The 24,985-nt window shown below is 38.1% G+C and overlaps 1 long non-coding RNA gene across 1 annotated transcript in view; it reads right to left on the bottom strand.

The window, feature by feature from the left end:
• LINC01612 (long intergenic non-protein coding RNA 1612) overlaps positions 1-24,985 on the bottom strand; it is a 57,133-nt gene that overhangs the window by 2,740 nt on the left and 29,408 nt on the right. The window contains exon 2 of the long non-coding RNA NR_125889.1: positions 4,309-4,402. This is a non-coding gene — a long non-coding RNA (long intergenic non-protein coding RNA 1612). The remainder of the gene's footprint in view (positions 1-4,308; positions 4,403-24,985) is intronic.

The following is a 24,985-nucleotide window of genomic DNA, read 5'->3' as shown; positions in this document are numbered from 1 at the left end:
TTGAGGTTGGCAACTTCCTGGCTGGAGGGGGGTTATCTCAGGGCTAGCATGTCTCTGGCTGGGGAGGAGCTTGGAATGTTTCTGGTTGGAGATGTTATTTGTGGTTCATGTTCATGCTGCCCTTAACCATTAGGCTGATGCCCTTTGGATTTAGGCGTTTTTTTTATTAAGGTAAACTTTAGAATGAGGGGCTTGTCCAAGATGGCGATGTTCTTGCTCTGTAATCCCAGCACTTTGGGAGGCCAAGGCAGGCAGATCACGAGATTTAGACCATCCTGGCTAACATGGTGAAACCCTGTCTCTACTAAAAATACAAAAATTAGCCAGGCGTAGTGGCAGGTGCTGTAGTCCCAGCTACTCGGGAGGCTGAGGCAGGAGAATGGCGTGAACCCAGGAGGCAGAGCTCGCAGTGAGCCAAGATTGCACCACTGCACTCCAGCCTGGGTGACAGAGCGAGACTCTGTCTCAAAAAAAAAAAAAAAAAGTTAAGCTGTCATATATCAAATGGTAGTATGTGTAACAGACATAATCTTTCTTAATCATTAAAAATTCCTCCTCACTAATATACGTAAACATTTTTCCCCAGGATAATAGAGTCCCTTTAAAAATAGCACTTCATCTTTGAAAACTAGTGTTTGGCAAAAAAAAAAAAAAAAAAAAAAAAAAAAAAGCACCTATCCACATATAGAGATGATAGAAAGATGGATAGATAAATGATAGGTATTTTCTAGCAGCACACATGAACAAGTAATAGTGGAGGACTTGAGGAAGGGGTATGGAGAATTGGAGGACTGGGGGTTGTGGGGAGCTGAATGGGAGGAATGAAGGTCAGCTTCATGGACACATGACCTGTGAGGTCACATAGGACCCAGGGCTTAGAAGGGCTCCACTTGGCTTAATGTTCTACTGCCATAATCTTAACATTCTTAATAATTGTTGAGCAAAAGCCCCTGTATTTTTATTGCACTTGGTCCAACCAACTATGTAGCTGGTCCTGGGAGGGATTTTCTGGGCTTTCTAGAAAACAGAGCCTTAGTCAAAAGTGTACGTGCTCCCATTTTATTGAGGAGTATGACTCCAGAGACACAGGAGTGAGTCGAAAAGGAATCCCAAATTAGGTATGGAAAGAAGAGGAGAAAACACAGGGGAAGTGGAACAGAACTGGCCTTTATTTGACAGCAATTGCAACTGATGCCTTGATCTCCCAGGATGTTTTCTAAGAGGCCATCTAAGTACCTCATTTCACATGTATCTGTTTATTGGTGATTGGAAAAGAAAATAATTTATCCTCAGCTTCTTCCTCTTCTCCATCTTCCATTGGTCAAAATCCACCATGAGCTGTTAACTCCTCCTTTTTCCAAGGTGAGTCAGCAATTTCTCCAAGCAACAACTGGAAAGGCCAAAGCCTTACAGGACCAATCTGGCTGGGGCATAGCTACAGCATCTTTCTCACCAGGCAGCATAGCACAGAAGGCTTCCCATCTGTAGCAGCAGCTAGGAACAGTACCACCATTCCTAAGACACCTCAGCTAGGAAGCCAGGCTAGAACACGAGTCTGAAATGGTCCAGGAACTGGATCCCAGACAAATTCACGTGTCTATCAACTGTAGAATAAATATATTGTGATATTTTCCTCTGATGAACTAGTATAAAGTGAAGAAAATTACTCCTATAGTTCTTCTCAATGCAGATATAGCTCATAAATATGATGTGGAATAAAAGAAGCCTGACACAAAAATAATGTCTTTTGCATAATCCCTTAGAGAAAGCTCAAAAAAAAACAGACAAAAATCAAGTATAATTTTTAGGAATCCATGGTGAAATGGAAAAGCTATAAGAGAAAGAAAGTAATGATGATAAAAAGCTAGAAAGTGGCTCACTTGGAGAGAAGGAAAATGATGGTAATTGGAAGAGGGTCCCAGGGGCACTTCTGAGTCTGGCCATGTTCTATTTCTGTGGTGTCCTTCAAGCAAAGTGAAGAAGGTGAAGTAGAGGAATCAACTGTATCAGATGTTGTGGAAAGATGAAATAAGATATGGCCTGAAAAATAAATGTTAGATTTGACACCAGAAAGGTCAATGGTTATCTTGGATTGACTGGAGTGAAGTCACAAGAGAAAATGAGGAAGAACTAGGAAACAGCTAGTATAGAAATTTCTCTTAAGAAGTTTAGTTGTAGAGGAAAGGATAACAAAGGGGCTGTACCTGGAGAGGAGAAGTGGGTGCCTGGGGAGTTGTTTGTTTTTTATAAAGTGTGAGGTGAGAAATGTAAGTCTGCTTGTATGTACTTGTGGGAATGATCTAATAGAAACTGTCTGCTAGACAGATGAGAAAGATGCTGTAGCTATGCCTTGGCCAGACTGGTCCTGTAAGGCTTTGGCCTTTCTAGTTGTTGCTTAGAAACTGATGAAACAGAAGGCAAGGGCAGATTGCTAAGGCAATGTCTTTGAATAAGCTAGAGATGACATGATCTTGTGCACATGGAAAGGGATAGGAGGGACATGGTCACTTCATACAAAGTTCAGAAGAGAAGGTGATCTGTAAGTGCCCCAATGCAGATGGGTAGGGATCTGTGGTCATAGGATGTTGCAGAAATTCTCTCCTGATTTTAAAAATAAAAACTGAAAATGAGAAAGGGAAAGAACATGTTAGAGTTTTGAAAATAGAAAATGCATGAGGCCGGGCATGGTGGCTCACGCCTGTAATCCCAGCACTTTGGGAGGCCGAGTCGGGCAAATCACTTCAGGTCAGGAGTTCAAGACCAGCCTGGGCAACATAGTGAAACTCTGTCTCTACTAAAAAATATAGAAATTAGCCGGGCATGGTGATACATGCCTGTAATCCCAGCTACTTGGGAGGCTGAGGCATGAGAATCGCTTAAACCTGGGAGGCGGAGGTTGCAGTGAGCTGAGATCATGCCACTGCTCTCCAGCCTGGGTGACAGAGCAAGGCTCTGTCTCAAAACAAAACAAAAAAAAAAAAAAAAGAAAGAAAAGAAAAAAAAGAAAAGAAAAGGAATGAAACAGTTATCTAGGACAGAGCAGAAGAATTAAAGTACTAGGGAAAAATAGTATAATTGCCAACAGCACTAAGGGCCCACTTGAGATTAGTGATCATGACTTTATTTATTTTTCCTTTTTCTTTTTTTTATTTTTATAATTTTTTTTTAGAGATAGGATCTCACTGTGTTGCCCAGGCTGGTCTCAAACTCCTGGGCTCAAGAGATCCTCTTGCCTTGGCCTCCCAAAATGTTGAGATTACAGGCATGAGCCACTGTGCCTGGCCATGAGCATGACTTTAAACACAGCGTGACTGTGTGTTTCTCCCACAATGAGCAGATACTAGCACAAGTGGGCAGAAAGTAAAGAAAGGGTAGCTGTCCTCTTGAAAAGTAGAAAGCTGTTCAGCATGAGAGACTCCTTTCTAGGACATTTCTAATTTAGGGATAAAATTTGGCTTAAGAAAGATTAAAAACAAGACAGAAAACTATTACCTAAGCTAATAAAAATCAGATCAATAAAAATCTACACCTTGAAGCTGATAATTTTATAAGTAATATAATTTAATAATATTCAAATATTATTGTACTATAGTTCCCAGTAGAACTAAAAGTATCTAGGGAAAAATTCTGGGATCTAAGATTATAGACTATCAGTTCTTTTATTGATTTAATTGATGATTTACTTCATTTAAGGAAATAATGGGTTTTTTTCCCATAAGTAAAATAGAAGACTAGTAAATTTGCTCTTATTTAGGTGAATAGGTAAACAAGTAAAGAATAGTTAGCATTTTGCTATTGTCTGGGGTATTATTACAATGTCTGTATTTAACAAAAGAATACATATGATTAACAACAGTAGCACATGTTTGATGATAGTAAATATTTTAATAAATTTCAGTAATTGCCATAGTTATTAAAGGCAGTCAAATTTTTTTTTTTTTGGTCACCTGTCACCCAGGCTGGAGTGCAGTGGCATGATCTTGGCTCACTGCAACCTCCACCCCCCCGGGGTTCAAGCAATTTTTGTGCCTCAGCCTCCCAAGCCGCTGGGACTACAGGCACACACTACCACATCTGGATAATTTTTTGCATTTTTAGTAAGACGGGGTTTTGCCATGTTGCCCAGGCTGGTTTCGAACTCCTGGCCTCAAGTGATGCACCTGCCTCGGCCTTCCAAAGTGCTGGGATCACAGGGGTGAGCCACCATGCCTGGCCATATTTAGTCAATTTTTTAAATACTGGAAGTCTTACTTTTTCTTCATAGAAAATGATTTCCAGTTTTCTAAACTAGAAATAGTAGTATCTTACCTTACATAACATGTTTTCCAAAATCTTGGTGTAGTTGCTCTCCTGCTTGTATGTAAAAAGTGCCACATTCAACATGAGAGAATAGTCCGTGCTCCTGAAAAGAACATGCAATTTGGATCAAATTTTCTAGTTTTAATTTTCTTAAAAACTACCAGATATGTTTAATTTCCTTGAAAATGTTTATATGTTAAGCAAAATGAAGACTTTTTTGTATTTACGTTACTTTTACTAAGATTTTTTTTTTTTGGTCCAAAAACATTGAGATAATGAATATTTTCTTTCAAACTTCTCATATAATAATAATATTGTATTTTATATTTCTTTCTCAATAGAAATATAAAACACTTCATTTCAGCAATCATTTTAGTAATCCTGATTTAGGTATTGAGAGTCTGTTTTTTAAGAGTCCACTTAGAAATTTGTTAAGATTCTCAAACTGCATTGCATTTATTAAAGTTTATAGCACCCAGCGTCAAACATTTTGCTATATTATTATAGTAATATTAAAGCTGTTTTGGGTGTGCACACAGACATGTGTTGGGGGGGGGTTCTTCAAAGAAGGATAAAACACAGTTACAGGCTGAAATATCTTATAGATAATTGTGTGCTTTCCCATCAGGGAAGAGATAAAACTAGCATAACTATATATATTTGCTGTAAGAGTTGCAGGGATGGTTCATTTCACTGAGGAGGAATATTTTTATCAAAAGTCACATTCCAAAACGGTGTTTATGTAAAATATAGGAAAATTTTAAAATACATTAATTCATTCAAAAAGCACTGAAATTCCCATTTTAAGACTTGTTTGATAACAATGCTGAGAAAAGAAAGATAATTGGAATCTAGAGCACAATTACATTTTTAAGTTAAAATACAATAGATTTATGTTCCCAGTAAATAATGGCAAGAGAGTTAAAAATGAACTCTCATTGAATGAATACACTTGGTTTTACATAACTCTCTATTTTGAATTCATTTTTTTGCCTTGTACTATAAAGCTTAATATGAAGTCATAGCTCAGTCTTTCGGGTTAAGATTTTTTTTTTAAATAAAGAAAAAGTAAATGGCCTCAAATTTACCAGCAGCAAGCAAACAAGGGAAGGGAAGTAGCTTCATGCTGTAAATGTCAAGCAATGGAAACAGAACATAAGTCAGAAATTCAGATTTGTTCGTATTTTAAAATGTATGTATAAACTTTGCATTACATTTGGCATGTTAGGGGTGGTGCTACATAATCAAATACATCAAAATGTTATAGCAAGTGCTGTGAATATTCACAATAGGTATGATAAATAAATACCATGGAATCCAACAAGACACCCAACAGATTCTCATTCTCCAAAAACCTTACTAAAGAAAAAGAGTAGGTTGAAGAAATTCTAAGAATGCTGCTAATGTCCTCCAACTTAGAGAGAGGGTGACTGAGAGCTGAGTAGAAAGACACAGGAAGATATTCGATACTAGAGGTCCCGGAGGATCTGGAGGATCCTGGAGGATCGCACCCCTGGAGGATCTCAGAAAGACAAAAACAGATACTGGAACTTACCACCTTCAGATGGAGAAAATAGATAATATTAATGGAAATAGGTAGTCCCTAGTAGGAGACATTTGTAGGATTTCAGTGAGAAAGCCAAACCCAAATTGTCCAGAACAAGGGTTATAATTCTTTAATCCTTGAACCCTCAGGCTTCAGAAAAGCCGATAGAACAGACAACCAAGCCGTCAAAATGTAGCACCTAAATTAACAATCAAACAACTCTCCAAAACAAAGGAACTATAGCAAAGAGAATTTACCCATACTATGTCATAACAGAAACTTCCAGACAAAGCACTCTGTTAACCAATAACCGAATGAAAATGCATGCCACGGAAACAATGGCAACAGACTACAGTTGAAAAAAAAATTAGCTAGTGAATAACATATGAAGAATCCATCATCAAGAAGACATAACCCAAAGAACAGAACTTATTTCCCACAAGTACTTCACAGTATAAAAGAATTTAGAAGAAAATGAATTCAATAAAAGAACTCAAAGACAAGATGATAAAACAAATTAGGGAAACTGAAGTGCTAAAGGGGAAAAAATGAGAAACAAAAGATTCTATTATTATAGACCTAATACATAAATTAGAAACAGAAGAAAACAAGTTAAAAATTGAAATTACAGCATGGAAAATGTCTTAAAACATGTATAAATGCAGAGAGAAAAAGACAAAAAGCTCAAAGCTAATGAAAAGAAATTGGTGAATATAAATAGCAGATAAATGACATCTATCAATCATTGAAAAATAGGAAAGAAAAGGTATATGGAGAAAGAATACAAAAGTATTTCTTTAAATTTTGAATAAAACTAAATAAAAATTTTAAAATATATCTTCTAATATGAAAGCTGTTGCAGAATAAGCAAGCCAGGTATATTCTCATTAAGTTACTAAATTTTAAAGATGAAGTTAGAATTGTTGAAGCATCCAGGCAGAAAAAGCAAATCAACATTAAAAGAGAAAGAAAAAAACATTTGGCTTCAGACTTGGCTTTTTGAACAGTAACATTCAAAATCTAAATGCATTGGGTGCAAATTTCAGTCCGTATATTAAAGCAATTATTTTCTTTTATAACAACTTAGCTTCTGTTGCAAACTTTGACTTTGTGGTGGAAAGTCAATATTACTGCTTTCCAGGATGCATATGAGTTTCCAGTGACTATGGAATACCTGTGAAACAGAGGAAAACCTCCTCCTGGTCTTGTTCATCCTGTTTCCATGTTGGCTGCCAAAGAGGAAGGCCTATTCTCTCCTGGTCTCTTTCATGGTTCGAGGAGGAAACTAAATCCTGTTGCAGTGGTCCCTTCTATCTGGTTCATTAGAGTCGCTTAATTTAGTGCCTTCTGCAAATGTACCACCACTTCCTTCCTCACATTGGAATACGGAGGACCTCTGTAAGGCCAACATATGATGCAGTGCTAAGTGTTCCATGTCTCTGGGTAATTCTGGTGTGCAGAGGGCTTCTTTTCCCCAACCCTGCAGTGGGAGAAAAGGATGCAAACAGGAACCTTACTCTTATATCATCAACTTTCCCTTTGGACCTGAGATTTTTACAACATAAAAGTCAATACCTTTGAAACCCAAAAGCTTTTCTTTGCTGTTCTGTAGAATCATAAACTCTTCTGAGGCAAGGATTGACAACTGGTTGAAAAGACAGAAGGACAGGAGGGAGAACCACAAGAAAAGTGGAAATATTCATATTTTTTAAAAGTCATGTCCCTTTACATAAGGAAATGTTTTTGTTTTTTGGTTTTGGTTTTGATTTTTTTTTTTTTTTTTTTTTGGTAAAAGACAAAGGGTTTATAAGATCCAAAGAGAAACCAGAGTATGAGGAAATGTTATTGGCTATTCATTAAGCAATTAGTTTGTCCCACAATAAAGGCGCTATCCCATCATTCCTTGCAAGGCTCTTGCTTCTTCCTCGTGACTGTAGAAAGCATGCTAACAGTTCACAGTCTGCTGATTTAATTGTTCCTGAGTCCCAACCCACTCCCTGAGTCTATAAAATCTACCTTCCTAGAACAGTCTTTCAAGCTCTTAGCGAGTAATAAGTAAACATAGTGATTCCTGAAAAGTCTTAATTTAAAATGAAATTAGTTGGCTAGTTTTAGCATTCATTTATTTATCCAGATACTGATTACCGACTTTCTGCAATGTGCTAAGGAAACAACACTGAAAAAAACAAACAAACAAAGCCCTGTATATATATATTCCAGGGAAAGAAACAGAAAATACACAAATGAACAAGTTAACCTCCCTACCCAATCACCCTTACCCTTCTAATCCACTAGGGGAATTTTCAATTAACACTAGAGTCCCCTATATATTAATTAAGCTGATTTTAACTAATAAAAACAAGTTCATGTATGTTCCTGACAGCAACATGACAAGTATTTCCTCGCCTCTCTTAGCATCTTCACCTTCCGTAATCTATTTGCTTCCCACTTCACATAATGGCCTTGGGATGGCACTGCAGGCATTGCAGCATTCTCCAAAAGAGAGTATCTGTCCCAAAGTTATATGGCTAGCTGTCTTTTTAAGAAAGGCAGGTCTTTCAACTGACTCCTAACTCTTTTAGGTAATAAAATTCCTGATAATAAAAATGCCTTTTTCCCATTTCTCAAAACTACATGTTAACAAAAGGTCACAAGCTGGCTCCAGTTCCCTGTGTACTTTGCAAGGTAATATAGTTCTGAAAAGAAAAGCTTAATGTAAAGGTCAAGATACAAAATCTATTTTTCCTGACTATAAAGTATTGAACACTTCCTGAGATTCATGAGCCAAGCTTTAGTAGCCTGAATAGTACCAACATTCCTTTAAACTCATGAGAATTTTTAAGTATGAGAAAATATGCGAGAAACTAAAACGAACTACACAAAAGTGTACTAAAGGCTGTATCGATTCAAGTCTCTGAAATTGACTTATGTCCAACACCTCATTTCATAAACACACTCATACATGAAACCAAATACACTTTACGTGGCTTTGTGTAATAAAGGTAATTTAAATAAAATTTTGTTAAGATTTTTCCAACAAAGGTGACTCTAAATTTGAATGAATTGAATTCTAGTATCAAAAATGAATTACATTTTAAAGTCAGAATATGTTTCCCGTAAGAAAACACATTCCTGGGGAATTGAGATGAAAATGTTTAACAAGACCACAGAAAGATAACACGGCCCTGGGAACTCTGTTTCAAAAAACCACAGATCAGCTCTCTGGCTGCCCACATCCACTCTTGGGCATCATGAAACTTGAATAATTCTGCCCATTCTGAATGAGGGCTCCCTCAGCCAGTGACCTCACTCACCTAAAAGCCTTACTATTACCTGGAAATCTCCTGGTTCCCCTTCCCAATATCTATTACTTTAAATGGAATTCTGACAAAACAGAATTCTTCCCATTTTCTCTTTGGCAGGATATTTCAATAGCTCATAGAGCTGGTTACACATTCCTTTAATCAATCATTATTATTTATCACTCAATAAACACTTTTCTCCTTTTGTAAATTCTTTAATTAAAAATTAAAGGTATTTTGTTTTCTTCATGTGTGAATTAATCATGCAAAAGCATGGCAAGCAGCCTAAAAAGTTTCATCTTTCTTAACTTTTACCATTTTGGGGAAAATTGTGACAAAGAAGGAACAAAGAGTAGTGTGATTTATGGAAACATGAAATAAGGACAATAAAACTGCTCTAGACGGATAGGAAACTTTCTCTCTAGGAAACGGAGCCATCTACTATGAAGTGCCTTGCTTACAAATGTAATTTCACAGGTTAGGGGTGTGCGAGATGGGGAGGTGGGTTTAGTTCTTTTTGTTTGTTTTACAAATATTGGAATGCTCTAAGACTCCACCTCCTCAATTCTCACAACCTCTAAAAAATATTGAAAAAGCTAATAACTGTTATAAATAAATTTTCGGTGCCACAAAGAAATAGCACTCGAACATAAATTTAATTTTCTCAACAAGGCAATTTTTACTTCTATAGAAGGGTACAACTCGTGAATGGAGAAATGGTGAAAGCGCACCTGAACATGGGAGGGGAAGGGGTTCTTATCCCTAAAGCAGGTAGCCCCCACTGCTGTGTCGTTCCCCTATTGGCTAGGGTTGGACCACACAGTCTAAGCTAATTCCGACTGGCTATTTTAAAGAGAGCATGGGTACAAGTCAGAGTGGCAGGGTGAGTAGTTTGGTGGGAACAATAGTTACAGAACAGGTGACTCAGGATAACTGAAGTCAGAGCAAGTGACCAGGGGCGACTCAGGATGGAGCAGGTGATAGAGGCTAGGAGGGGGTTGTTTACTGAAACTAGAAGCAAGAGGGTGAAGAGAACCAGGAAGTTAAACTTTAAAATAGAGAACAGAGAATAAGAGAGCTGAATATACTGACATACTGATTCTTTGAAGAGAAACTTGGAGTTCACTATATTTAACATAACATTTTTAAGTAGATCCCCTTTGCTTACTTTTAGCTCTACAGAGTAGAATAAAGTGAATATAATGAAACTTCTTTTTAAATTATACATTATAAAGATACATATCAACTATGTAAAAAAATAGCCATTTATCATAGAACCTAAATAAGTAAAAAACAATTATACAAATTTATTTTTCTACCCACCTAATTGAAAGTCAAAAAAATAAATATCTGTTTTATTTCTTCTTAAAAATTAGGGTTCATCCAAGCCATTAGATAAAGGGTTGTTTGGCAATTTGATATCTGCGTGTTAAAATAATCAAATATATATTGTAGCTGATGGCTTCAATAATAATAACAAATCTAGATTTTTGTTGTTGTCGTTGTTGTTACATCCATGGGACAAGAATTTATTATCTATCCTCAGTAGCAAAATTTGAAAAAAATAAAAGCCTAGCACTTAGTAGAGCAAAATAAATATTAGTTTAGTGAATAAATTTGTACTCTGAATTTAAGCACTTTGGTCCTTTCCTAAGATTTGCCCAAAGCAGAACGCAAGATGGTCAATCTTTAACCATCCCTGCTACCAACTCTGTAATCAAGTCTCAGCACTGCAAATATTTCCAAACTGTATCTAAATTGCAGGACACTTTATTCTGGTTTGCTAGAGTTGGTGTTTAAATAGAAAAAAAAAACAGCTCCTTTCTGGATTATTAATTATTTTAGGAATACAGAATTTAAATTTCAACTTGGCCATGGTAGAGGGATAAGAAAAGATCATACAGCTAAATAATAATTCACAGAAATAAATTGCTTCCTTCTGGGTTAATTGTATGAATCTTGACACACATTTCCTAGGAGAGCTAGAAATAGAAAAAGTAAACAGTAACTTAGCTGGACATGGAGACTGAAAGATTCCCATTTACTCTGTATATATGTGAGGTACCAAAAATAACAAGCTCATTCAGAGGCTTTCATTTTGCAGGAAAGGAGTGAAGAAAGATTGAAAGAGAGGCAGGAAGGAAACTATTCACTGTTTTCTCACTGTTTTCATGATTGCTATGACCAATGATTGTATGTGGTGATAGCTTGAATATTGCATGAGCCTGGTGGTTGGGTCCTACACACAGTAGGTATAATAATCAATATAACTTGTTTTGACTCATTGATACATGGAGTCATTAAGCTTCTAGGAACTCCAAAAAATTCATGAGAAAGCAGAAGACTGAAGCAATTTTAACTTACGGAAGTATGAGTTTAAAAATTCACTAATATAAGATGGCCGAATAGGAACAGCTCCAGTCTGCAGCTCCCAGCGTGAGCGACACAGAAGACAGGTGATTTCTGCATTTCCAACTGAGGTACTGGGTTCATCACACTGGGGATTGAGGGACACTGGGTGCAGGACAGTGGGTGCAGTGCACCAAGCGTGAGCCGAAGCAGGGTGAAGCATCGCCTCACCCAGGAAGTGCAAGGGGTCAGGGAATTCCCTTTCCTAGCCAAGGAAAGGGGTGACAGACGGCACCTGGAAAATTGGGTCACTCCCACCCTAATACTGTGCTTTTCCAATGGTCTTAGCAAACGGCACACCAGGAGATTATATCCTGCACATGACTTGGAGGGTCCTATGCCCACGGAGCCTCGCTCATTGCTAGCACAGCAGTCTGAGATCAAACTGCAAGGTGGCAGCGAGGCTAGGGGAGGGGCGCCCACCATTACCCAGGCTTGAATAGGTAAACAAAGCGGCTGGGAAGCTTGAACTGGGTGGAGCCCACTGCAGGTCAAGGAGGCCTGCCTGCAACTGTAGACTCCACCTCTGTGGGCAAGGCATAGCCAAACAAAAGGCAGCAGAAACCTCTGCAGACTTAAATGTCCCTGTCTGACAGCTTTGAAGAGAGTAGTGGTTCTCCCAGCACACAGCTTAAGATCTGAGAACAGAGAGACTGTCTCCTCAAGTGGGTCCCTGACCCCCAAGTACCATAACTAGGAGGCACCCCCAAGTAGGGGCAGACTGACACCTCACACGGCCAGGTACTCCTCTGAGACAAAACTTCCAGAGGAACGATCAGGCAGCAACATTTGCTGTTCACCAATATCCGCTGTTCTGCAGCCTCCGCTACTGAGACCCAGGCAAACAGGGTCTGGGGTGGACCTCCAGCAAACTCCAACAGACCTGCAGCCGAGGGTCCTGACTGTTAGAAGGAAAACTAACAAACAGAAAGGACATCCACACCAAAACCCCATCTGTACGTCACCATCATCAAAGACCAAAGGTAGATAAAACCACAAAGATGGGGAAAAAACAGAGCAGAAAAACTGAAAATTCTAAAATTCAGAGTGCCTCTCCTCCTCCAAAGGAACGCAGCTCCTCACCAGCAACGGAAAAAAGCTGGACAGAGAATGACTTTGATGACTTGAGAGAAGAAGGCTTCAGACGATCAAACTACTCCAAGCTAAAGGAGGAAGTTCAAACCCATGGCAAAGAAGTTAAAAACCTCGAAAAAAGATTAGACGAATGGCTAACTAGAATAACCAATGCAGAGAAGTCCTTAAAAGACCTGATGGAGCTGAAAACCATGGCACGAGAACTACGTGACAAATGCACAAGCCTCAGTAGCTGATTCGATCAACTGGAATCAGCTTGGAAGAAAGGGTATCAGTGATGGAAGATCAAATGAATGAAATGAAGTGAGAAGAGAAGCTTAGAGAAAAAAGAATAAAAAGAAATGAACAAAGCCTCCAAGAAATATGGCACTATGTGAAAAGACCAAATCTATGTCTGATTGGTGTACCTGAAAGTGACAGGGAGAATGGAACCAAGTTAGAAAACACTCTGCAGGATATTATCCAGGAGAACTTCCCCAATCTAGCAAGGCAGGCCAACATTCAAATTCAGGAAATACAGACAACGCCACAAAGATACTCCTCGAGAAGATCAACTCCAAGACATATAATTGTCAAATTCACCAAAGTTGAAATGAAGGAAAAAATATTTAGGGCAGCCAGAGAGGGTTACCCACAAAGGGAAGCCCATCAGACTAACAGCTGATATCTAGGCAGAAACTCTACAAGCCAAAAGAGAGTGGGGGCCAATATTCAACATTCTTAAAGAAAAGAATTTTCAACCCAGAATTTCATATCCAGCCAAACTAAGCTTCATAACTGAAGGAGAAATAAAATCCTTTACAGACAAGCAAATGCTGAGAAATTTTTGTCACCATCAGGCCTGCACTAAAAGAGCTCCTGAAGGAAGCACTAAACATGGAAAGGAACAACCGGTACCAGCCACTGCAAAAACATGCCAAATTGTAAAGACCATCGAGGCTAGGAAGAAACTACATCAACTAACGAGCAAAATAACCAGCTAACATCATAATGACAGGATCAAATTCACATATAACAATATTAACCTTAAATGTAAATGGGCTAAATGCTCCAATTAAAAGACACAGACTGGCAAATTGGATAAAGAGTCAAGACCCATCAGTGTGCTGTATTCAGGAAACCCATCTCACGTGCAGAGACACACACAGGCTCAAAATAAAGGGATGGAGGAAGATCTACCAAGCAAATGGAAAACAAAAAAAGGCAGGGGTTGCAATCCCAGTCTCTGATAAAACAGACTTTAAACCAACAAAGATCAAAAAAGACAAAGAAGGCTATTACATAATGGTAAAGGGATCAATTCAACAAGAAGAGCTAACTATCCTAAATATATATGCACCCAATACAGGAGCACCCAGATTCATAAAGCAAGTCCTTAGAGACCTACAAAGAGACTTAGACTCCCACACAATAATAATGGGAGACTTTAACACCCCACTGTCAACATTAGACAGATCAACAAGACAGAAAGTTAACAAGGATATGCAGGAATTGAACTCAGCTCTGCACCAAGCAGACCTAATAGACATCTACAGAACTCTCCACCCCAAGTCAACAGAATGTACATTCTTTTCAGCACCACACCATACCTATTAAAAAATTGACCACATAGTTGGAAGTAAAGCACTCCTCAGCAAATGTAAAAGAACAGAAATTATAACAAACTGTCTCTCAGATCACAGTGCAATCAAACTAGAACTCAGGATTAAGACACTCACTCAAAACTGCTCAACTACATGGAAACTGAATAACCTGCTCCTGAATGACTACTGGGTACATAACGAAATGAAGGCAGAAATAAAGATTTTCTTTGAAACCAACGAGAACAAAGACACAACATACCAGAATCTCTGGGACACATTCAAAGCAGTGTGTAGACGGAAATTTATAGCAGTAGAGGGAAATTTATAGCACTAAATGCCCACAAGAGAAAGCAGGAAAGATCTAAAATTGACACCCTAACATCACAATTAAAAGAACTAGAGAAACAAGAGCAAACACAATCAAAAGGTAGCAGAAGGCAAGAAATAACTGAGATCAGAGCAGAACTGAAGGAAATAGAGACACAAAAAACCGTTCAAAAAATTAATGAATCCAGGAGCTGGTTTTTTGAAAAGATCAACAAAATTGGTAGACCGCTAGCAAAACTAATAAAGAAGAAAAGAGAGAAGAATTAAATAGACACAATAAAAAATGATAAAGGGGATATCACCACCAATCCCACAGAAATACAAACTACCATCAGAGAATACTACAAACACCTCTACACAAATAAACTAGAAAATCTAGAAGAAATGGATAAATTCCTCGACACATACACCCTCCCAAGACTAAACCAGGAAGAAGTTGAATCTCTGAATAGACCAATAACAGGCTCTGAAATTGAGGCAATAATTAATAGCTTACCAACCAAAAAAAGTCCAGACCAGATGGATTCACAGCCAAATTCTATCAGAGGTACAAGGAGGAGCTGGTACCATTCCTTCTGAAACTATTCCAATCAATAGAAAAAGAGGGAATCCTCCCTAACTCACTTTATGAGGCCAGCATCATCCTGATACCAAAGCCTGGCAGAGGCACAACAAAAAAAGAGAATTTTAGACCAATATCCCTGATGAACATCAATGCAAAAATCCTCAATAAAATACTAGCAAACCGAATCCAGCAGCACATCAAAAAGCTTATCCACCACGATCAAGTGGGCTTCATCCCTGAGATGCAAGGCTGGTTCAACATATGCAAATCAATAAACATAATCCAGCATATAAACAGAACCAAAGACAAAAACCACATGATTATCTCAATACATGCAGAAAAGGCCTTTGACAAAATTCAACAAACCTTCATGCTAAAAACTCTCAATAAATTAGGTATTGGTGGGACGTATCTCAAAATAATAAGAGCTATTTATGACAAATCCACAGCCAATATCATATTGAATGGGTAAAAACTGGGAGCATTCCCTTTGAAAACTGGCACAAGACAGGGATGCCCTCTCTCACCACTCCTATTCAACATAGTGTTGAAAGTTCTGGCCAGGGCAATGAGGCAGGAGAAGGAAATAAAGAGTATTCAATTAGGAAATGAGGAAGTCAAATTGTCCCTGTTTGCAGATGACATGATTGGATATCTAGAAAACCCCATCGTCTCAGCCCAAAATCTCCTCAAGCTGATAAGCAACCTCAGTAAAGTCTCAGGACATAAAATCAATGTGCAAAAATCACAAGCATTCTTATACACAAATACCAGACAAACAGAGAGCCAAATCATGAGTGAACTCCCATTCACAACTGATTCAAAGAGAATAAAATACCTAGGAATCCAACTTACAAGGGATGTGAAGGACCTCTTCAAGGAGAACTACAAACCACTGCTCAAGGAAATAAAAGAGAATACAAACAAATGGAAGAACATTCCATGCTCATGGGTAGGAAGAATCAATATCATGAAAATGGCCATACTGCCCAAGGTAATTTATAGATTCAATGCCATCCCCATCAAGCTACCAATGACTTTCTTCACAGAATTGGAAAAAACTACTTTAAAATTCATATGGAACCAAAAAACACCCCGCATTTCCAAGTCAATCCTAAGCCAAAAGAACAAAGCTAGAGGGATCTCGCTACCTGACTTCAAACTATACTACAAGGTTACAGTAACCAAAACAGCATGGTACTGGTACCAAAACAGAGATATAGATCAATGGAACAGAACAGAGCCCTCAGAAATAATGCCACATATCTACAACTATCTGATCTTTGATAAACCTGACAAAAACAAGCAATGGGGAAAGGATTCCCTATTTAATAAATGGTGCTGGGAAAACTGGCTAGCCATATGTAGAAAGCTGAAACTGGATCCCTTCCTTACACCTTATACAAAAATTAATTCAAGATGGATTAAAGACTTAAATGGTAAACCTAAAACCATAAAAACCCTAGAAGAAAACCTAGGCATTACCATTCAGGACATAGGCATGGGCAAGCACTTCATGTCTAAAACACCAAAAGCAATGGCAACAAAAGACAAAATTGACAAATGGGATCTAATTAAACTAAAGAGCTTCTGCACAGCAAAAGAAACTACCATCAGAGTGAACAGGCAACCTACAGAATGGGAGAAAATTTTTGCAACCTACTCATCTGACAAAGGGCTAATATCCAGAATCTACAATGAACTCAAACAAATTTACAAGAAAAAAACAAACAACCCCATCAAAAAGCAGGCAAAGGATATGAACAGACACTTCTCAAAAGAAGACATTTATGCAGCCAAAAGACAGATGAAAAAATGCTCATCATCATTGGCCATCAGAGAAATGCAAACCAAAACCACAATGAGATACCATCTCACACCAGTTAGAATGGCGATCATTAAAAAGTCAGGAAACAACAGGTGCTGGAGAGGATGTGGAGAAATAGGAACACTTTTACACTGTTGGTGGGGCCGTAAACTAGTTCAACCATTGTGGAAGTCAGTGTGGCAATTCCTCAGGGATCTAGAACTAGAAATACCATTTGACCCAGCCATCCCATTACTGGGTATATACCCAAAGGATTATAAATCATGCTGCTATAAAGACACATGCACATGTATGTTTATTGCAGCACTGTTCACAATAGCAAAGACTTGGAACCAACCCAAATATCCATCAGTGATAGACTGGATTAAGAAAATGTGGCACATATACACCATGGAATACTATGCAGCCATAAAAAAGGATGAGTTTATGTCCTTTGTAGGGACATGGATGAAGCCGGAAACCATCATTCTCAGCAAACTATCGCAAGGACAAAAAACCAAACACCACATGTTCTCACTCAAAGGTGGGAATTGAACAATGAGAACACATGGTCACAGGAAGGGGAACATCACACACCGGCGGGGCCTGTTGTGGGTTGGGGGCAGTGGGGAGGAATAGCATTAGGAGATATACCTAATGTTAAACGACGAGTTAATGGGTGCAGCACACCAACATGGCACATGTATACATATGTAACAAACCTGCACATTGTGCACATGTACCCTAAAACTTAAAGTATAATAAAAAAAAATTCAAATTTAAAAAAGAAATTCACTAATATACCAGTCCAGGTACTTCCATGAAGCAGATATTAAACCCAAATGGTTCCAAGTTTTTTAATAATGAAATTAACCTTTCAATAAATTTTCCCTGAAAGTATGTATTTCATCAACAGATATGAAAAATAACAATTATTATTTTTATAAAAGACAAATTTATGGAAGTTTTCATTCTAATATTTCACAAACATATTGTTACTTAAATTACCTTATCCAAAAAACAGTTGCCATAGATACTATGGTATCTAAGGTGTTTACATGTGTTTCACTCATTTAGAGCACTGATTTCTATGCTCTTTGAAATTTTTTAAGAGAAAAGTAGAGTATTACAGCAATAAAAGGACAGACCAAAGTAATTATTGCTTTCTAAGAGGTTACAAAAGTGCAGCTGATTATGAAAAGAAGAAAATATTATATCAGAAAAACAACAAAGACTAGATACTGTTTATTGCTTCTTTGAAATGGGCAAAAAGAGTCTAAAAAACGAATGAATTGGGGATATGCTTTTAAAAATCAGTAAATCCATCACTTGATTTTTACTGTGAATACATGTATACATGTACTTATTGTATAATGAAGGCTTGACTTTTGATACAATTATATATGATAACAACAAAAGTGCAATAAATAGGGAAAATAAACACACCCTTTGAGTGAGACATATTGTTATGTACTGCATGAATGGTAAATAAATTGAAGAATATTCAACCATTCTTTTTAGGTGAGGAGGTGATCACCACAATAGTGCCATAAAATACATAATGTTATTTCCCATGTTAAAATAAGGATATTTTTATGTTATACTTTTAAATAACTTGGCAGTTAGAACATCTTTTAAAGGTAGTTTTTCTAAAAGTAATATTTTAAGGCTACTAAACTAGGACAATCACAGAATATTATTGGTTTGTTTAATTAATTTTTACCCCTTCCCAAAAATAATTTGGAACAACATGTAAACTATGGCTTAAAAAGGTTTATAAATTGCAATAGTATTTCAGAACCATAGAAATAAAATGTAAGTGTGTAAATAATACTGAGTTCTTATAACCTAAGAGAAAGAAGCTTAGCAACAAATTCCTTAGGAGAGACAAGTTTTTTACCTGTAACCAAACTCTAAAGGAATGGCTCATGTGAGGATTTATACAAAGTACATTAAATAACGTAATAGAGGGTGTCAGAGTAAATGAAGGAGCAAATTTCATATGCCTCTTTCTTGTTGCGACCTCCATAAAAACTGGGAACATCCCATTATGCTGCAGCTCAGGGAGGGTAGCTACAAAGGGCAAAGCTAATAACCAGGTACATTGCTTTTCAGCCATCAAATCCGACTCAAGGACAACACTGAAAGCATACTGAGGATGAGATGTCAATTACTGTCCCAAGGTGGCTTTTTCTAATAGACACTTCTTTCGAAGGGGCATTTTAAAAGGTCTGAAATAGGGCAATTTGGGTTCACACTCTCAGATGGCATCCTAGTAAATTTCTCCATTGGGCTCAAGGGCAGACCTGCATGCTGTAGATACCATAAGAAGCTTAACCAGTACTTTTGCCCTGAGGGTACCCATCCCATCCCTGCATAGGACACTAAGCAAGGGTGAACCAGCAGGAAAGCCAGAATTTTCTTTAGGTACTAGCTTTTGATTTACACTTTAAGAAATTTTACTTAGTACAAGAAAAGAAACCCATGCTTGCAAGAACTAACAATGCAATTTTGGTTCAGCAAAATGCTTCATTTTCACAATTTCTTTATATTCGAAAACGTGAAGCTTAATAAAAACGTTTATAGTCACAAAATCAATAATCAAATTGTTCCTATATTATTTAGAGGATTATGGTTAGGGTTAAGTTTAGAAAAAAAGAATTAGGGTTTTTCCAAGGGAAAAAGGATAGAGATTAGGACTATTTCAAGTTCATATTCCAGTTTATTTTATTTCTAATTTTATGTCTAAGATTTTTATCCTGTTATGAATAAGCCATATAATTTCCACCTCTATACTAAGGGGTTCACAAGCATATAGGAGTTTACAAATTCAGGCAAAAGGAGATTGGAATTTAGATAATTTAGATATATGACATTACCTCTTCATTTCATCTTCTGCATTCTTGAGTAGAAATCAAAAATTTCAACTCAATTGCATAGATTTTACAAGTTGTAAAAGGATGAAGATAGCAAAATAAGACTGAAATTCCCAAGCAGCTAAAGGCTCATATTATAGGCTTAGCTACTGACCAAAGACCATCAAAGGAAGTTAACAGCAGCTTCTAAAAACTAGGGATAAGTCAGTGAAGACGTGGCAGCAGCTCCAGTGCCACTGAGCAAGATTTTCTTCTGCAACAAGGCTCAGTTTTGTCTTATCTGATGCTCTTCAACTACATGCAACTGCATTTACTTACTTCGGCAAAATCTTCCAAATATTCAGAAACTCTTTTCTTCTACTTGTCTTTCAAGTAAATAAATAAACTGGAGTCAAAATAAGCTGGATGAAACTACTATGGGTTGCCTGACATTTTTACCATGGCAAGTCACTGCTAAGCTGAACATTCATGACCATGTGACTTAATCAGAAACTAACTTTATTCTTTGTCCCACTGCTCTTTAAACTCACTCTGTGCGCCAGTTCTTTCCCTGCCACTGTATGAATTCTCTGATAAAGTCCATAACTTCTTCAATCACTACTCAATACTCAAAAACCTGTTTACCTTCAATCGTAAGAATAGTAACAAATACATACAACTTAGTCCAATGTTTTTCAAAGCGTGAATTTTACCTAACGTGAAAGCACCTCGCCTCTCCTAGGTTAGACAAGCTCAGAAGGTTGTAATAGGGTATATTTCAGCTTCTCTTCTGTTTCCCCACCTCACTGCCTCTTCTCCCAGATGATTTTCTAGCTCTGCCATGGGTCCCTCCAGGCGTGGAGAAGATAAAGGAAAAAAAGTCAAGGTCAGACCCAGTACAATCTGGAGCGGGTTTTTCCTGGCATTTGCAGATGTCTCCAGCCACCTCTCGCTGGGAGGGATGACCAAAACCGACTCCTTTCCTTGGATGGCTTGTGTGGGCGCTTCAGTCTCGCCAGAGAACAACCAAGGAGGCTTACCTAGACAGCAGCAACAGATTTTTCTCAGACAGGCTGCTCATGTGTGGTCCTTCCAGCTCTCTTGCAGAGACCTCTTGGACAGAATTTGAATGGCCCCAGAACAGCTCTCTCCTTTGGGGCTCACCTCTGGCCCACAAGGAACACTCCAATGCATGCTCGCCCCCACCACTGGCACCCAATTCATCTGCCTTAGAAGCATCAGAGCCAGGGCCTCCTGCCTTTGGAGTCCTCAGATGTATACCTAGCTTCTCTGATTTCCCTGAAAACTGACTTATCCCCCATCTCAGTGCTTCAGGAAGGCTGGTTGGTGCTCTTTCTCTGATCCTCCAGCGCCCTCTACTGGGCCTTCACTTACCCAACATCTTCGCAATCAGGTAAGACGCCTTCATTCACAGCATTCATAGTGACTCTGTTTTCCTGATCGAACCCTCACTGATACATTCTCCTGTAGGTGGCGCTGCAGGAATAAATCTGTTAGATCCTGTAACTTGTCCCTGAGGCTAACTGGAAAAGAAGTTAGGTTCCACAAAGAAGGAAACAACAGACACTGAGGTCTACTTGAGGGGTGAGGTTTGGGGGAGGGAGAGGAACAGAAAAGATAGCATTAGGTACTGAGCTTAATATCTGGGTGATGTAATAATCTGCACAACAAACCCCCGTGACACAAGTTTAACCATGTAACCAACCTTCACATGTACCCCTAAACCTGAAATAATTTTTTAAGTGAGGTTCCCTATAATGTGTCCCTTAACTATACAAAAATAAAGATCGATGGGCATCTAAGCTTTCAGCCATGGCATCAATAGTAAGGGACAGTTCCAGTGGCATCTCTTCTGACGTATTGGAAGTACATAATTGGAATGCCATGTGCTAGCTCCATTATCTCTTCTGGTCAAGGGAAAATATCCTTGATGTATTTTGCAGAGTTCAGTAAATCTATCAGGATAGGGGTCTTCCTGGGAAGTAGCTCCAGTTACCTCTACAAAGACTAACTGAAACCCTTCCAAAAGCGGCTGGTTTTCACTGAAAGATCTCCTCCAGGGTGCCTGATGACTCGGTGCATCCTATTAATCCAAGATATAAACTTGTGCATGATGGGTAAATGTATCCAATACTACAAATTTATCTTCTAGATGCCAGCTATTGGATTCCAATTCTTTCCACCAACTCCAGAGTTCTCAGGATAAGCTGGCCATTTCACTAGACTTAGGAGGCACACAGCTAACATTTGAAATGGCATCTTCTGCCATTTGGGGCCAAAAGGAGTGTTATTCTCCATCACCAAGGGAAACGAGATTAAATATTTCCTGCAGCATGCTCTGAGGACCATCTGCATCACCACCGTCTGCAGTGCTTAGTCAATATTAAGCACTCTATGCGCACCTCAAACAGACAGAATGAGACTTTCTAGGGCTTGGATGCAGGAAACTACCTATTGAAGAAACACTCCAGGTAATCCTCTTGCACAACCAAATTTCAGAATCCTGAGGTAGATAATCAGAGAAGTAAACACCAGAGGAATTACACTGTTTAACCTCACTTTTCTTTAAACCTTTGTTCCTGACTTATTTGCCAGATGGCCTCACATTCTCCCTTTTTACATTCAAGGCTGAACTTAACAACGAAAAGCAAAGGTACTGATGACAGAACCATGAGACAGAGGAGATAGAAAAGAGGTACAAAGAAGGATGAGAGAGATAATATTCCCGCTTACAACATGAGCATTAAAGGATGCCATTTCAACTTGAAAGTTGAAATCAATTTGTGTTGAAACAATACAAAGCATATAATTTACAGCTACCAAGGTCATTTTAAAGATCTAACGTAACAAATAAAAGTGCATTTGGCAAGGGCAGCAACAGTCTTAAGCAAGTTAAATCTATAGCACAATTTTTTAACCATAGATATGTACTATTTTCTAAAAGTGTTTATATATCCTTTTCAAAATAAATTTTACTACCCATACTGATAGGCAATAAATTCTAATACTTCATGTGGCCTGATAGTGATTCTTCCTCCTTGAAGGTCTAAGGGGTTGGTTCTGAGCCAATCAGAAACCTCCTCTGAACATTCTGGGAGATTATTTTCCCTTTAGGTCTAGAATGCTTTCACATGGCTGCAGCATTCTTCTGCTGTCAAAAATGGAAGGGATGAGGAAAATTAAATTTTTTAAAGAAAGTAGCTGAAAAGGAACTCTCTGTTTCCACAAAGCCATGACACTACCCATGTAAGACCATTCAACATCCCTCTGCTAACAGCAGCCCAGAACATAACAGTTAAATCATTTCATGCCCAATATAGCAGGAGTTGTATGTCCCTGGAGCTAGCACTGATAGGGTTGAAGGCAAGACCCGGCCATTGATCATCAGCTTTTATTTCCGCTGGATTCTTTTCAGTGTTGCCAGTGATACATATGTTATAGGAGCTCTATCCTTGAGAAGCCATGTGTGAAAGAATGACAATTCCTTTCATTTTAATGTAAAATGGAAAGAATGTAGAAGAGGAAACATTCATTGAATTATGATAGTACGCTCAATATTTTAGTATTGTAAATTATTTTATTTCATTTGATTCTCATCCTGGAAGTAGATATTATTAATTACAACCAATTTAATCTTTTGGGGACACTGATTTTCAGGAAAGTTAAGTAGCTTGACCAAGATCCATTTAGAAAGCAGTGAATTCAGCCTTAAGTTGCCTAAAAAGCTATTGAGAGTTGGTGGCTGCTGGTAGATATGCTGTGGGACTCTTCCACACCACTGAATTTTTTCAAGGATTATGTGGTATATAATGAATGTTAAGGCCCCTAGCATAGTGCTTGGACACAGTCAAAATTCAGCAAATGTTAGTTTCTTTCTTTAAAATGAAGGCCTCCAGCCAGTCTCGTATTAAGCAAGAAGGAATGATCTATTTACATCTCCAACTTCAACTTCAGACTCCTTGAGGATGCTGATGTATCCATCATGGTATCCATAAAGCTTAGAATAGTACATGTGCCAGATGACCTGCTGTGTATTAAATGGTTAAGCAACAAGACTGAAAAAAAAAAAAACAGAATTAAAGATTCAGTTCCTCTTTCAAAAGGAAAGAAAAAAAGACTGGAAAGTCTAGAAAACAGCAAAAGCAACCCAGCTACACATCTTGACATAACCAGCTGATGTACTCATGCTAACACTGCCTGGCCAAAGTGCTGCATCAAAATGAAAATCACTGCTTTCCTCTTTCTTTAACCAAGTGTATTAGATTGTTTGCTTTACTACAAAGGAATACCAGAGGCTGAGTAATTTACAAAGAAAAGAGGCTTATTTAAAGCTCTTGGTGTATAAGAATGCTTGTCATTTTTGTACATTGATTTTGTATCCTGAGACTTTGCTGAAGTTGTTTATCAGCTTAAGGAGATTTTGGGCTGAGACAATGGGGTTTTCTAGATATACAATCATGTCATCTGCAAACAGGGACAATTTGACTTCCTCTTTTCCTAATTGAATACCCTTTATTTCCTTCTCCTGCCTAATTGCCCTCACCAACAACAGACAAACAGAGAGCCAAATCATGAGTGAACTCCCATTCACAATTGCTTCAAAGAGAATAAAATACCTAGGAATCCAACTTACAAGGGATGTGAAGGACCTCTTCAAGGAGAACTACAAACCACTGCTCAAGGAAATAAAAGAGAATACAAACAAATGGAAGAACATTCCATGCTCATGGGTAGGAAGAATCAATATCATGAAAATGGCCATACTGTCCAAGGTAATTTACAGATTCAATGCCATCCCCATCAAGCTACCAATGACTTTCTTCACAGAATTGGAAAAAACTACTTTAAAGTTCGTATGGAACCAAAAAAGAGCCCGCATCGCCAAGTCAATCCTAAGCCAAAGGAACAAAGCTGGAGGCATCACACTACCTGACTTCAAACTATACTACAAGGCTACAGTAACCAAAATAGCATGGTACTGTTACCAAAACAGAGATATAGATCAATGGAACAGAACAGAGCCCTCAGAAATAACGCCGCATATCTACAACTATCTGATCTTTGACAAACCTGAGAAAAACAAGCAATGGGGAAAGGATTCCCTATTTAATAAATGGTGCTGGGAAAACTGGCTAGCCATATGTAGAAAGCTGAAACTGGATCCCTTCCTTACACC

This window comes from Homo sapiens, chromosome 4 (genome assembly GCF_000001405.40).
Source record: "Homo sapiens chromosome 4, GRCh38.p14 Primary Assembly".
Classification (NCBI taxonomy): domain Eukaryota; kingdom Metazoa; phylum Chordata; class Mammalia; order Primates; family Hominidae; genus Homo; species Homo sapiens.
Note: the sequence above shows the minus strand (reverse complement) of the source record. Positions and strands in the feature narration are given on the sequence as shown.